At 51.6% G+C, this 14,483-nt stretch overlaps 1 protein-coding gene across 31 annotated transcripts in view, besides 2 other annotated features; it reads right to left on the reverse strand.

Moving 5' to 3' along the window:
- POU2F2 (POU class 2 homeobox 2) overlaps positions 1-14,483 on the reverse strand; it is a 111,827-nt gene that overhangs the window by 23,549 nt on the left and 73,795 nt on the right. For 10 of the 31 annotated variants that reach the window (NM_001247994.3, NM_002698.6, NM_001393936.1 and 7 more), the window contains exons 2-5: positions 12,853-12,918; positions 12,686-12,720; positions 12,468-12,524; positions 7,592-7,708 (exon numbers count right to left, since the gene is read on the reverse strand). In NM_001247994.3, the coding sequence (NP_001234923.1) occupies positions 7,592-7,708; positions 12,468-12,524; positions 12,686-12,720; positions 12,853-12,918 (275 nt within the window). Of the gene's footprint in view, positions 1-1,042; positions 1,099-7,050; positions 7,348-7,591; positions 7,775-12,467; positions 12,525-12,685; positions 12,721-12,852; positions 12,919-13,028; positions 13,269-14,483 lie in introns of those variants that run through there. The other 21 variants (XM_011527042.4, NM_001393935.1, XM_011527041.4 and 18 more) reach the window with 7 other exon arrangements.
- Positions 4,653-4,812: an enhancer, noted in NCBI's record as "active region_14700". NCBI's record gives its function as "activates an Ori minimal core promoter by ATAC-STARR-seq in GM12878 lymphoblastoid cells {active_cell/tissue: GM12878}" and the evidence as "EXISTENCE:reporter gene assay evidence [ECO:0000049][PMID:35858748]".
- Positions 12,342-12,421: a silencer, noted in NCBI's record as "silent region_10685". NCBI's record gives its function as "represses an Ori minimal core promoter by ATAC-STARR-seq in GM12878 lymphoblastoid cells {active_cell/tissue: GM12878}" and the evidence as "EXISTENCE:reporter gene assay evidence [ECO:0000049][PMID:35858748]".

Raw genomic sequence — 14,483 nt, forward strand, 5'->3', positions numbered from 1 at the left:
GAGACAGGGTCTTGCTCTGTTACCCAAGCTGGAGTGCAGTGCGTGATTATAGCTCACTGCAGCCTTGAACTCCTGGGCTCAGGCCATCCTCCCGCTTCAGACTCCCAAGTAGCTGGGATTACACTGCGCCACTGTGTCTGGCAAGAAGAGTACTTTAAATGTTTTCACCACGAAGAAATGATAAATATTTGAGGTGATAAGTATGCTAATTAGCCTGATTTGATCATTCCACAATGTATACCTGTATCAAAACATCATATTTTACTCCATAAATATATACAATGATTATTTGCTACTTAAAAATAAAATAAAACTCAGCTGGATGCAGTGACTCACGCTTATAATCCCTGCACTTTGGGAGGCTGAGGTGGGAGGATCACTTGAGGCCAGAAGTTCAAGACCAGTTGGGCAACATAGTGAAACCCCATCTCCACAATTTTTTTTTTTTTTTTTACTTATCCAGATATGATGGTACATGCCTGTAGTCTCAGCTACTTGGGAGGCTGAGGTGGGAGGATTGCTTCAGCCAGGAGGTTGAGGTTGCAGTGAGTTATGATGGCGCCACTGCACCTCACTGCAGTGAGTTATGATGGTGATAGAGCAAGACCTCGTCTCTAAAAAAATGAATAACTACATAAATAAAATAAAACTTAAAATTAAAATGAGGTCAGGCTTTCTGACACTCTGAGTAATCTCAGTCTGTCTGGTGGTGGGACGCACTGCCTGGGAAGGGAGTGGGTGCCTGCCATGGAAGCCACCTGGGTGAAAATCCCCACCTGGCAACAACACCAACAAGGAAACGCCTAACCTAGGGGAAGGTTAGACTAGTGGGGTGCAAGGGTCCCTTCCAGCTTGGAAACTCGGGGGTTTGAGCCTTAGCCCTCTCACCTGCTTCTTGCTGTGTGCCTGGGGGAAGCCACTTTCCCTCTGGGCCCCAGCCTCCTTAACTGTACAGGATCACGATGCAAGTTGTTATGGAGAGACCTGGGCCTTGGAGCCCAGAATCCTGACTGCCCCTCACACACCTCAGGCCGTTCCTTACCCTCTTTAAGCCTCAGTTTCCTCAGGTGACACCACAATAAGTCTTACTTCATGGAGCTGTTAAAGGAATTAAATGAGACAATATGTGTAGAATGTTTAGCCTGATTCCTCTTCACTTAATTGGTCCTTCATAAATGGCAGTCATTATGACTGAGTCATTTCTCTCCCAGGGCCTCAGTTTTCTTATCTGTAAAATGGGGATAATAATGTCTACTTTTTCACTGGGTTGTTCTGAGGCCTGAGTAATATTATCTAGAAAGCATTTTGGAAATTACAACATATCCCTCAAAATGAGCATTTGCTACCATTGCCCACCTCATGTCACCACACTTGAATGTGAGCTCTTGAGGGTGGGAACCCAATCTGGCTGAGTCCTTCCTTCCTTCCATCTGTCCATCTATCCTTCTTTCCTTTTCTTTCTTTCTCTCTTTCTTTGGAGACAGGGTCTTACTCTATCTTCTGGGCTGGAGTGTCATGGTGCAATCATAGCTCACTGCCATCTTGACCTCCCATGCTCAAGCGATCCTCCTGCCTCAGCCTCTCAAGTAGCTTGGGGGCTATGGGCATGCATCACCACACCTGGTTAATTTTTTTTTTTTAAGATACAGGGTCTCTCTATGTTGCCCAGGCTAGTCTCGAACTCGCCTCAAGCCGTCCTCCTGCTTTGGCCTCCTAAAGTGTTGGGATTATAGGCATAAGCCACTGTGCCTGGCCAAATTCATTCTCTTCCTGACAACTAACAACTTCCAGCTCCTGCCCAGATACTCTGCTGAGCTTCAGCCTCAAATATGCATCTGCTTAGTTGATGTTCCCATGTGGATGATTAATAGACTCATCAAACCCTAACATGTCCAAAATGAAACTGCTGGCTCTCTACCCCAGCCTTCCAAAACATCCCATTCCTCCCATCTTCCCCAACTCAGGAAACCACGTCATTACCACCCAGCTGCTGAAGCCAAAATCCTAGGAGTCATCCTTGACCTATCCAATCAATACAAAATAGCAACCAGGATCCCCATCCTCACCCTCCTGGCTCAAGCCACCCTCATGTCCCATCTGTATGCCTTCAAGGACTTCCTACTGGGCTCTCTTTTCTACTCTTATCCCCTGCAGTCCATTCTCCTATCCCCTGCAGTCGATTAGTACAGTCACTCCACTAGGGCAAGCTCTAAAGATGGGAGTAGGGGCAGAGGAGTGGCCGTTCTCCAGTGTGGGTTCTTCTCTGGACCCCCAGTGGTTGGCCCTGTGACATGGAACCCAGGAAGTTGTGGCGATCAGGGCAGAATACCACAAATGGAGAATGATTCAACAGGGAGAAAAAAATACCTACATATGGACTGCATATTACATCACATGCTACCTTATGCTAAAATTCCAGGACAGACAGGCAACAGCAGATCCCAACCCAGGAACCAGTGGGAGCAACTGGCATGCCTGGGCCAGGCTCCTGGACTCCAAGGCCCTGTGGATGAACTGACCACACACCTCCAGGTGGGCAGTTTTGATTGGCCTGGTACCCACTGCCCCTTCTTCAACTTATTCAAGCAACAGAACCCATCTCTTTCAGGGGTTACACTTTCCCATCCTCAAGTCACGAGGTCCAGGTAGGGCTGACCTTGCCTTCTCTGGGGTCGAGGGCAAGGGCTCAAATCTAGCCAGGGGACGTGTTTTTGTTTGTTTATTTTATTGAGACAGAGTCTCACTCTGTTGCCCAGGCTGGAGTGCAGTGGCACGATCTTGGCTCACTGCAGCCTCCACCTCCTGGGTTCAAGCAATTCTCTTGCCTCAGCCACCCGAGTAGCTAGGATTACAGGCGCATGCCACCACGGCCGGCTAATTTTTGTACTTTTAGTAGAGACGGGGTTTTACCATGTTGGCCAGACTGGTCTTGAACTCCTGACCTCAAGCGATCCGCCCACCTCGGCCTCCCAGAGTGCTGGAATTACAGGCCTGAGCCACCCTGCCCGGCCCAGGGGACGTATTTTATCTCCCTGGGCAGGATAGCTACAAGTCTGGAAATGCTGACACCCATTTTACCTGCCCTACAATGAAACAGGGAGACAGACCCCTGGAGCTGGGCCTGATATTCCAGACCAGGCCTTTTCAGTGATCTGAGCCAAATATTCCTGAGTCTTCTTCAGCCACCTGGACTTGGGCTTTGGCTCCTCCCTCCCAGCTCATCCATCCCTATTTGTGCGGCTACAGCCTGCCCTGTTTTCTCACTTTGCACTTGCCATTCCCACAGCCTGGAAGCCCCTTCCCAGCAAACTCCTTCCCATTCCCCTGAGTTCAGATCCCACCTCCTCCTGAAAGCCTGGACAGATGTGGGTCCTGATTCCCTCAGACACACATCACATTTCTCTTCCCACATTCCCATCACACTCAGTTGGTTTCTTTGGGAAACTTTCACTCGCTAGGTCGTAGCAGCCTAAAAGATTTTGTCAAGCTTTATTTGCCATGGTCCTATTAGGAAAATAGGAAATTTTCCCCCCTACTCTCCAATATAAAATGATGTTTTAACTGTTAACGTAAGTTTTCAATCAATGCCTGCCCCTACCCCAGACATTCTGAAATACTTCCCTGGAGAGATATCTCTCCTATCCTTGATTGAAAATCTGCCGCAAAACATCCCTCATTGATTCGGTAAATATCCACACAGCCCCCTCGGCAGAAGGCAGCACACTGAGCAATGGACAGACAAATTATAGAACTGTATTATAATTGCCCCTTCGTCTGTACAAGCTAGGAGATTGCAGGGAAGGATCCTGCCAAACTGTTTAACCAGCATTTACTTTGGAAGCTGACATCAGAGGGCTGGAAGGGGGGCTTTTCCTTGGTACTTTATATAATTTCAAAGGGATAGCATTTATGAGTGTTTTTTACTCTCTTTCCTGGGCTTCTTAGTATCTTTCAAGTGAAACATTTCTTAGTGGCTCACTGATGTGCTTGCTCCACTGCAGGACGGGGAGCCCCTCAGGGGCAAGGATGGCTGTGACTCACTCCTAAGTCTTCAGCTTCCTGCCATGGCCTGACACACAGGAGGCCAGGAAATGTTTGTGGAATGACTGCAGGATCAGAGCTTAGCAGGCATGAGAAGTGGACTGGGGGGTGGAGGTCATGAGATGCGGCCCGGGAGAGACATCCGAGCCTAGGAGCCGGGGAAGGCTGGAGCAGTGGGTAGGTAAGTCAGGAAGAGCTGGTCCCTCTGCAGCCTGGGCCCAGCACAGTGCCCATAGGAGGTGCTGTTGTAGAAATGACGTCAAAGGGCAACTCAGTTTGTGAGAGAGAATTCCCAGAAAACAAACTTGGCCCAGCTTTGCACTTGTTGAAGACAGAAAGGGAAAGATCAGAGCTGAGGGAAGCTGGGGAAGGAGGAGTGAGAGGAAAGGAGGAGGGGTTTAAGGAGCCCTTGACAATCAGGGCCTGGGCTATACGGCAGGTGGTGGAGGCTCAGCTTGCTGCTGCTGGGTCCCTGGGGAGCTGGGGGAGGTGGCTCTAGGAGTGCATAGGCAAGAATGTCTGCTGCTCACAGAGATGGTGGCCTGGCTGGGTCTGCGCTAGGCTGCCCTGTTCTGCCTTCTATCCTCTAGTCTTTGTTCCTTCAACTGATATTTCCTCGAGCAGATTCAGGCACGGCTGGGGGGAGGGAAGTCATCATGACTTCCTAGAGGTGTGGACTCCTGGGCTGGGGCTCAGATGAAGAGGAACTGTCCAGGTAAAGGAAGGGAGCAGACTTCCCGGGAAAAGAGAGAACAAGAGCAGGGCCACTGAGATGCAAAAGAGCTCAGCCCCAGTGAAGAGCCCCAAGCCCTTGGCGTTGCTCAGTAAAGGGCTGTCTATGCTACAAGGCAAATGGAACACCTGCTGCTGGAGTCTCTGGTGGCCGGGGTGGGAGGGGCTAGAAACCATGTTCCGTGAAGGACAGCTAAAAGCAGCAGCCGCGGATCATGTGGTTAGAGCCCTGGACTTCCAGGCCGGCTCTAACACTCATGCTTACAGAATAATCTGGGGCAGGTCACTTTACCCCTTGGAGCCTCAGCTGTGGGGAGGATTCATGGGAGCAAAGAGGCCATCACTGGCATGGTGCCTGGAAGAAAGGTGGCACCCAACAGACTAGTTACTGTTACTTCAAGAGCCAGGTATTGAAAGGCTACATCTGGGCTGAGCACCGTGGCTCATGCCTATAATCCCGCACTTTGAGAAGCCAAGGTGGGCAGATCGCTTGAGCTCAGGAGTTCAAGACCAGCCTGGGCAACATGGCAAAAACCTGTCTCTACAAAAAATATGTATATATAAAAAAATTAGCTGGGTGTGGTGGCATGCACTTGTAGTCCCAACTACTCAGGAGGCTGAGGTGGGAGGATTACTTGAGCCCAAAGAGGTCGAGGCTGCAGTGAGCCATAATCCGCCACTGCACTCCAGCCTGGGCAGCAAAGCAAGACCTCATCTCAAAAAAAAAAGGCTACATCTACAAGAGCCATCACGGAGCCATGCGCCCAGTTTACAGAGTGTCTCCACAGAACCAGGCCCAGTGGAAGGAAGTTCTAAGGAGGCAGGTTATCAGCTCAGTGTTAAGGAAAGTCCCAAATGGGAGCATTGGCCAATAATGGAACGGGCCATTATTGGGGTGAACTGTAACAAGGGAACAGCCTTACCAGGGCTGGACAGCTCCCTGCATGGACAGCATCTATATCTAGGGTTCTGTGGAAGTGGTTGGACGGAGTGAGAGAAAAGCCTTTTGTGGAGCAGTCACTGAGGGAAACGCCAGGCTAAGGGAAGTTAAACAGGTGGCTTTGCTGTAGGGCTTCCCACGACCTTCACTGCCCTGAAACTTGGCCACAGCTCTAAGGCTTATGAAAACCAGACAGACAACATGAATGGGTGAAAACCAGACAGACAACATGAATGGGTGACATGGGAAGGGGTGGACAGGAGTGGGCTGGAGACAGCTGCCCTTCGGAAGAGGAAGCCTACTCAGCTCCCACTCTGCTCCCCCGGCTGTCCTTATGGGAACTCTGTTGGCCACTGTTAGGGGTTAAATTGTGTCCCCAAAAAGATATGTGGAAGCCCTCACTCCTGGTACCTGTAAATGTGACCTTATTTGGAAATAGGGTTGCAGATGTAATCAAGTTAAAATGAGGTCAATGGGGTGGGCCCTAAACTAATGACTAGTGTCCCTACAAGAAAGAAAAATTTGAATACAGAGACAGGTGCACAGAGAGAAGATGGCCATGTGACGACAGAGGAGGCAGAGATTGGAGTGAGCCATCTACTAAGCTATGGAACACCAAGGATTGACAGCACCATCGGAAGCCAGAAGAGGCAATGACAGATTCTCCCTGGGAGGCTTCAGAGAGAGCACGGCCCTGCCGATACCTTGAGTTTGGACTTGTGGTTGGAGACAATATGTTTCTGTTGCCTTAAGCCACCCAGTTTATGGTATTATGTTACGGCAGCCCTAGGAAACTGAGACAGCCACTAATTCATGATTAACTATGGACCAGCAAAAGCTCCAGAGTCAGGGAGGTGATGGAGAACCTCCTAATTCATAGATCACGGGCCCCTTTTTTGAAAGAGCATCTTGTTGGATAAGCCAGGGGACACGATGAGGGTAGGGCACTCATTCTTATTCTTAACCTTTTGTTTTGTACCCACATGGTACCATTCACGAGAGTGACTCCTGGTTTCCTTACCTGTATGTTGAGGACAACAATCTCAACCTCCCAGGAGGCTGTGAACTCCCAGCGAGATGCACAGGAAGCACTGCCCCCAACACACCACCAGAGGGAGGATTATGATGTGGGATATTCCTCCCTGTGAGCCTCACTTTACCCCTCTGTAAGATGGGACAGCAACATCTTCCAAAGCTTCCTAGGGTTGCTAGGAACTGCCTGGCATGTGGCTGGTGGTCAGAACAGTCCATGTGGACCAGTCAGCCCCTTCCCACACACTCACTGTTTCTGCATGTCCTTCACTGCAGGGAGCCTGGTCCCCAGTGGCTGCCCTTACCTGTGCTGTGAGCTGGATGGGTTGGGACAAGGTGAGCTGTGGGGTCCCAGGGGGCTGGCTGGCAGGCTGTGGTGGTGGCAGGTCACCCCCCCCAGAGGAGGCTGGGGGCTGTGAGGTCGAGGAGGAGGCAGAGGAGGAGGAGGAGGAGGAAGTAGAGGAGGAGGCGGAGGCGGCGGCGGCGGCGGCAGCGGCGTTAGCGGCAGCGGCGGCACTGGACTGCTGCACGGCGGCGGCCAGGAGCTGGGCCTGGGCTTGCTGCAGGAGGAGCTGCTGCTGAGCTGGCATCAGTGCCGTGAGCTGCGGGGTGTCGGGGACAGCAGGAATTGGAGCAAGGGGTTGAAGAGGAGCAGAGAAGGCAGAGAGGGGTTAGTGCCTAAGCCAAGCAAGTAAGGGGACAAGACCTCCTAGAGGACAGAAGAGGGCAAGAGGCAGGTGTGAGAGAGTGGCCATGGCCTTGGTGGAACAGTTCATCCACTAGCCCTGTAACAGATGAGGGGTGGCTGGTTTGTCCCCTCGTCCCCATCCTTCCCCAAGTACTTACCCCAGCTAGCTGGCTGCCCGTCAACATGAGTTGGGCCTGGGGCAGATGAGGCTGGGCCGGCTGAGGGGGCAGGGGTGCTGCTGGGGCTGAATCGCCACTGGGGTCTTCAGCCTTGATCTGGGGGGGAGAGAGGCAGGGTCCGGGACCCCAGAATGTTAAGTGGAGGCCAGAGAGAATGCCCACCTGTGAACCAAAGAGAGGGCACGTGTGTGGCAATGGCAATCAGGCTGGCACAGGAGGAGCAGACTGGGGTGTGGACATGAGGGTGCAGTCTGTGGTCCTGCACTGACCGCTGGGAGCTTCAAACCACTCCTCTGGCCTCAGTTTCCTCATCAATCAGATAGGGCTAACACAACACCTGCACCCAAACTCCCTACAGAAGTCGCCTTTGCAGAGCACTTTTCCCCTCCTGAGAGTCAGTTTTCCTGTCTGTAAAATGGAAAAGAGTGGCTGGGCACGGTGGCTCATACCTGTAACCCTAGCACTTTGGGAGGTCGAGGCAGGCGGATCACTTGGGGTCAGGAGTTTGAAACCAGCCTGGCCAACATGGTGAAACCCCATTTCTGAAAAAAAAAAAGGAAAATACTCCCACTGGGCACCTGGGAGGTCAAATAAGTGGCTTCTGGGTCCCACACCCTTCATCTGTATCACACAGAGGTACATCTCTCTTGCTTTTTTTTTCTTTTTGTTTTTGAGACAAGGTCTCACTCTGTTGCCCAAGCTGAAGTGCAGTGGCATGATCACAGCTTACTGCAGCTTCTACCTCCCAGGCTCAAGCAATCCTCCCACCTCAGCTTTCCAAGCAGCTGAGACTACAGGTGCCCACCACACACCTGGCTAATTTTTAAATTTTTCTGTAGAGACAGGGTATCACTATGTTGCCCAGGCTGGTCTTGAACTCCTAGGCTCAAGCGATCCTCCTGCCTTGGCCTCCCAAAATGCTGGAATTAGAGGCATAAGCCACTGCACCTAGCCAGGTACATCCCTTATTTGTCCAATGAAGTAAGACTTTGTTGGAAGAAAAGGTTTTCAGGTACTAAGAAAAACCACCACCTTGGAACCTGGGCTACAAAGTCAGATGCTTACAGAAATGGGCACAAATGAATGACAGGAGTAGGGGTGGATGGAGGTGGGCTGGAGAGAGCGCCTGCCTAAGTGGAAATCTTATCTGGCTCCTACTCAGCTCCTGCTGGCCACTCTTTTCAAAATCTAGAACAAAAATACTGGCATAATAAGCAAAGCACAGCATTTGTCCTGCACTGTGGACAAGCCAGATGTGGCCCAGGAAATACCAGGCTTCAGCCTCCGCTCCTGAGGTCTGCCAAGCCTCTCCATGTCTTTCTGAATATGATATGGACACACCTTGCACCATACACACAGAACAGACCAGCATAGAGCCACCCTGGCCTCCTCCATTCCTAGGTAAAAAGCCAGACAACAGCAGTTGTTGGCTGAAAGGCCTGTTGGCTGAAGCACACACAGTGGTGGGAGAAGGCATGGCCTGATGGATCACACACCCTCAGGCCTAAAGTGGACAGTGAGTTTATCCTTCAGCCTGATAGCCCAACACCATTTTGTAAAAGGAAGTCCAGAGACAGAAAGCAACTTGGGCAAAATGACACAGTGTGTTGGCAGGGGGGTGATATTTGGAATGTGGACAGAGACAAACAGAGGCCAAGGAAAGGCCAAATAATAGACAGTGAATGGCATGTCCCAAATTATGGAATATAAGTATTAGAAAGTTTAAGAGCTACAGAGGCCAAGTGTGGTGGTTCATGCCTGTAATCGCAGCATTTTGGGAGGCTGAGGCAGGAGGATTGCTTGAGGCCAGGAGTTTGAGACTAGCCTGGGCAACAGAGCAAGACACCGTCTCTTAAAAAAAAAAGAGAGAGAGAGAGGTTAAAAAAAAAAAAGTGCTGCAGAGATGCAGCATGAAATGACACTGAGTATGAGAAGTCAGGGTAGCAGCTATCCCTGGCAGGGGCATTAAGGGCCTCTGGAAGGCTGGTCGTGCTCTGCTTCTTGATCTGGTGCTAGTGACATGGGTGTGCTAAGTTTCTGAAAGTTCACAGAGTCATACATTGAAGATCTATGTGTGTTTTTAATGTGTATCATATTTTAATACAAAGTTTTTTTAAAAATAGGCTGAGCGCGGTGGCTCGCCCCTTAATCCCAGCACTTTGGGAGCCAAGGTGGGAGGATCACTTGAGGTCTGGAGTTCGAGACCAGCCTGGCCAACATGGTGAAACCCCATCTCTACTAAAAATACAAAAATTAGCCAGGCATGGTGGCACACACCTGTAATCCCAGCTAATTGGGAGGCTAAGGCAAGAGAATCACCTGAAGCCGGGAGGTGGAGGTGCAGTGAGCCAAGATGGTGCCATCGCACTCCAGCCTGGGCGACAGAGCGAGACTCCGCCTCAAAAATCGCTTGAACCCAGGAGGTGGAGGTTGCAATGAGCCGAGATCATGCCATTGCACTCCAGCCCGGGTGACAGTGCGAGACTCCGTCTCAAAAAAAAAAAGTTTTAAAAAAATAATGTTGAATGCCATGGTGAGCACACTATTCCCTTTTCAGTGCTTTTTTCATTGTTTCTGGTTATCTTAAAGTCTCTGATTGGTGCTTGAATGTCTTTACCATCTCTCCAATACTAGCTAATCTCCACTTTTATTTTAATTTTTTTTTTGAGACAGGGTCTTGCTCTGTCACCCAAGCTGGAGTGCAGTGGCACCATCAGGACTCACTGCAGCCTCAACTTCCCAGACTCAAGCGATCCTCCTGCCTCTGTCTCAAGTAGCTGAGACTACAGGCATGCACACCCAGCTAATTTTTGTATTTTCTGTAGAGACAGGGTCTCACTATGTTGCCCAGGCTGGTCTTGAACTCCCGGGCTCAAGCGATCTACCCACCTTGGCCTCCCAAAGTGTTAGAACTACAGGCTTGAGCCACTGCATCTGGCCTAATCTCCTTTTTTTTTTTTTTTTGAGCTGGAGTCTTTCTCTGTTGCCCAGGCTGGAGTGCAGTGGTGCAATCTCGGCTCACTGCAACCTCTACCTCCTGGGCACAAGCAATTCTCCACAATGCCTCAGCCTCCCAAGTAGCTGGGATTACAGGCACTCACCACCATGCCCGGCTAATTTTTGTATTTTTAGTAGAGTCGAAGTTTCACCGTGTTGGCCAGGCTGGTCTCAAGCTCCTGACCTCAGGTGATCTGCCCGCTTTGTCTCCCAAACTGTTGGGAATACAGGCATGAGCCACCGCGCCCAGCCCTAATCTCCTTTTTTAATAAGCCTCTTTTTAATAAGCCTCTTTTTTAACAGGCCTCTGAGGTTTAGACCCTTCGGCACACAAGAGACTCTGGGTAAATTTTAATAATCATCATATTTATTTCCATGGCAAGTGATTCTGGTTTTCCATTTGTGAAATTTCCATTTAAAAAACATTTATTTAAAAAGCTGTCGAAAAGCAAGCCAGTTCATGAGTTGGTAATTGTTGAAGCTGATTGATGGGTATCTAGGGGCTTTATTTTCATTATAACCTTCTCTCTATTTCTGTATCCACTTCACATTTTCCATAATAAGGTGCTTTTTTAAAAAATTGAGCCAATTAACAAAATTATTATGTAAATAGTTGCGCACAGTGGTCTTATGCCTGAGACTGTGACAGAAGCACATGAATCACTTCAGTTAGGGAAAGACTGACACAGAAGAGATGGAGAGAAGTTGAGAGGCAAAGCCCAGAGAAACAGGGCGTACAGGGCGAGTTGTGGACAGAGCCCGAGGCCAGGAAGGGGAGGGAGAAACCTTCATTCCCTTGGTCCCACTGGCATCCCCAAAAGAAGGAAGCCTGCTGCCAGTTTGAGAACAGACTGCAAAGATCTGATTCAACTGAGGACAGGGTGGGGGCAATGGATACACGCTGTGCTCTGAGGGCTAAGGCAATAGCCAAACCTGCCATCAGAGGGTCAAGGAGGTCAAGATCGAGAGCCTGTCTCCCCTAGACCCCGTTCAAAGCGCTCAGCACAGAAGCAGGACATCTGCTCACAAAGCACTTTTATCCTCTCCTCTCATGGTAGCATGGGGGTACACCAGACATGGAGGCAACCACAGAGGCCATCCCATCCGACTGCCCCCTCCCCCCTGACCAATGATACTGAAGAGGAAACTGAGAGGCCCAGAGAGGGGAAGTGACTTTCCCATGGTCACAGAGCAAAGCTGTAGCAGGGTGGGGAGCAGTTCCCAGCCTCCCACCCCATCCCTCAGCCACCACTGGTCAGGGTCTGGAGTCCTGCTCACACCTTCTCTGCCCCCACCTCCAGTGCTACCTTCAAGCCTCTGGACCTGCCTGCTACCCCTGGACCAGGCTGGAGGGTGGAGACTGGAGCCCAGGCAACCCCAAGAAGCCCAGAATGCCAGGCACAGGGCCCCATCTGGATGTGGAATTTGCACTGCCTGGCTGCTTCCGGCCTCCCTGTCATTCTCTCCTGCATTCCTACAGCTATCCTCAACTGGTACCAGCCCCCCCACCCCCACCTCAGCTGGCCGCTAAATGTGTATATTGGGGGACAGGCGGTGGTGCAGGCCTCTGTTGGGTCAGGGAAGTTGGGATGGGGGCGGGCCTTTGGCTTCCTGTTGTTCATCGCCCTGGGGCTCTGGGGGGGATTTCCCTAGCCACCCCCACCCCCTAGGGAAGGGGAAGGAGCCTGCGTGAGTCACAGGCCTGGGGTGGGAGCCCAAGAGTGAGAAGGGGCGGGAGGAACCTCGTTACCAAGGTACCAAGGCTCAGTGCTCTCTCAGCCCTTGGACTGAGGCAGGCCTCCTGAGGACCCTCTTCCAAGCGCTGCCCACTTCCCTGGCTGTTCTGACAGGTGCTTACCTTTGTACTGGGGCCAGTTGGGGACACGGAGAATGGGGAGGTCTTATTTTGGGGGTTCTGCAAAGAGAAAGTAGGAGCAAGGGGATGGGAATAGTGCAGTGAAGCAGCTTCTGACCACCCCCGCTCCCTGCCCTCCTACCATAGGCGGCACAGAGCCCCCTCTGAACCCCTCTCCCCATTCCTTCCCACCCCCTCCCGCTTATCCACTCCCTCCTAACCTGATGATTAGTGTCTGGTCCATTTCTTTCGGTGTCTGCAAAGAGAGGGAAAGGATGTGTTGTCATCAGCCACCCCCACCACACCTGTCCCCTCCCAGCTCTCTTCCCATCTGTCCCACTTCCCCTGCCCACGGTGACCCCTGCCCCCCTGCTCCCTGCCCACCCACCTGTGTGCTCTGATGGGGAGTCCAGACCTTGCTTCTCGGCCTCCAGGGGCTTAGACATTCTTATTTCTGGGGACAGAGGAGGAATGGAAGTGGGGTGAAGGAGGGGAATCCAGGAGGGCTCTCGGGCCCCCATTCCACCACACTCCCCAAGCCTTTCCCCCAAATTCCCCCCTTACCCCCAGCCACCTTGGAAGTGTCTCTTCCCAAGAGACATGTCCTCCGTTCTGGGCCTCTGCCCTCCTCTGGCAAGATGAGACACAGCACTTAGGCCTTGGGGGATCTTGCCTTATCCTTTCACCTCTCCAGAAAGTAACACAGGGGTGTTACCCACAGTGCAGCAAAGGGCAGGGCAGGAGATGGAAGGTGGTCGTGAGAAGGTATCAGCTGCCCAGGAGGAGGCTGGTGACGTCCCAAAGGAGGGAGAGCAGCCTTGGGCCTCCTCCTGGGGCGGGCCGCCCAGGCTCCCGTCCTGCCCTACCAGGTTTCGGGTGAGACATGTTTTCCACTCTGAGTGGGGCCTCAGAGATGTGATGGGGCTGCAGCGTCCCCAAAGGAGGCAGTTGTCAGATCTCAGCATGTGTGATTCAGCCGCCCTCTGGCCCTCTTCCCACCCCACCACTTTCCCCATCCACATCTTACTCCCACCTGGACTTTCTTCCTATGTTTAGCACACCGGCCTAGCAGACCCAACCTCATCCTCTGTAACCTCAGCTCCATCTGGCTCTACCCCTGAGCTTGTCCTCCAATCTAAACCTGATCTGGGACTTCACGCTTGAGCCCCAGCTGCAGTCTCAAGTCCACCCCTGTAATACAACCCCATTCTATAGCTCCCTAGGCCCAGGAAATGAAAGGAGGTGGCCAAGGGAGGGTGGCAGGCAGCAAGCACATAAACCCACGGAGACAAATGCCTGTCCTCAAAGCGCTCTGATACTTTTCACAGAAAGGCGAGTGCTCACCAGTGCCAAGCATAGAGCTAGATATGACTCACAGCTCACATTAGCGGTTAGTGCTAATATTACCCCGTTTTACAGAGGAGGAAACTGAGGCTCCACGAAGGGATGTCACCTCCCCAAAAGCACAGCAAGACAGCAGATGTGCCCTGATTGGACCCCTGGTCTTCATGACTGCTGGGCTCCTACTTCTAATCGGATCCACTCTAGTCTAATGTCCCCTAGTCCTGACTTCCAGCCATCTCATCTCCAACAGTTCCCTCGCCCAAGCTCATCCTGAAACTGAATCCAACCCTTCCTGGTCCTAGACCCCAGGACAAATCTGGGCTTCAGCCTGACCCATCCTTAGTCCACTTACTCACCTTGAATCCCAAGTTGTGCCCAGATGGCTCAAGTCCTTCATCTGACCTTGACTCCCAACTGTCCTGAGATCCTGTCCCTGATCCAAACTCTTCCCACAACTCACTCCAAAATCCCTGCCTAAACCATGACCCCACTCCTACTAAAGGAGCTGTCCAACTCTAGTGTTCTCTGCACCAAGATACTTAAAGAAGACAGCTAAGCCAGGCACAGTGGTTCACGCCTGCAATCCCAGCACTTTGGGAGACTGAGGCAGCCAGATCTCTTGAACCCAGGAGTTCAAGACCAGCCTAGGCAACATGGAGAAACCCCATCTCTACT

This window comes from Homo sapiens, chromosome 19 (genome assembly GCF_000001405.40).
Source record: "Homo sapiens chromosome 19, GRCh38.p14 Primary Assembly".
Lineage (NCBI taxonomy): Eukaryota > Metazoa > Chordata > Mammalia > Primates > Hominidae > Homo > Homo sapiens.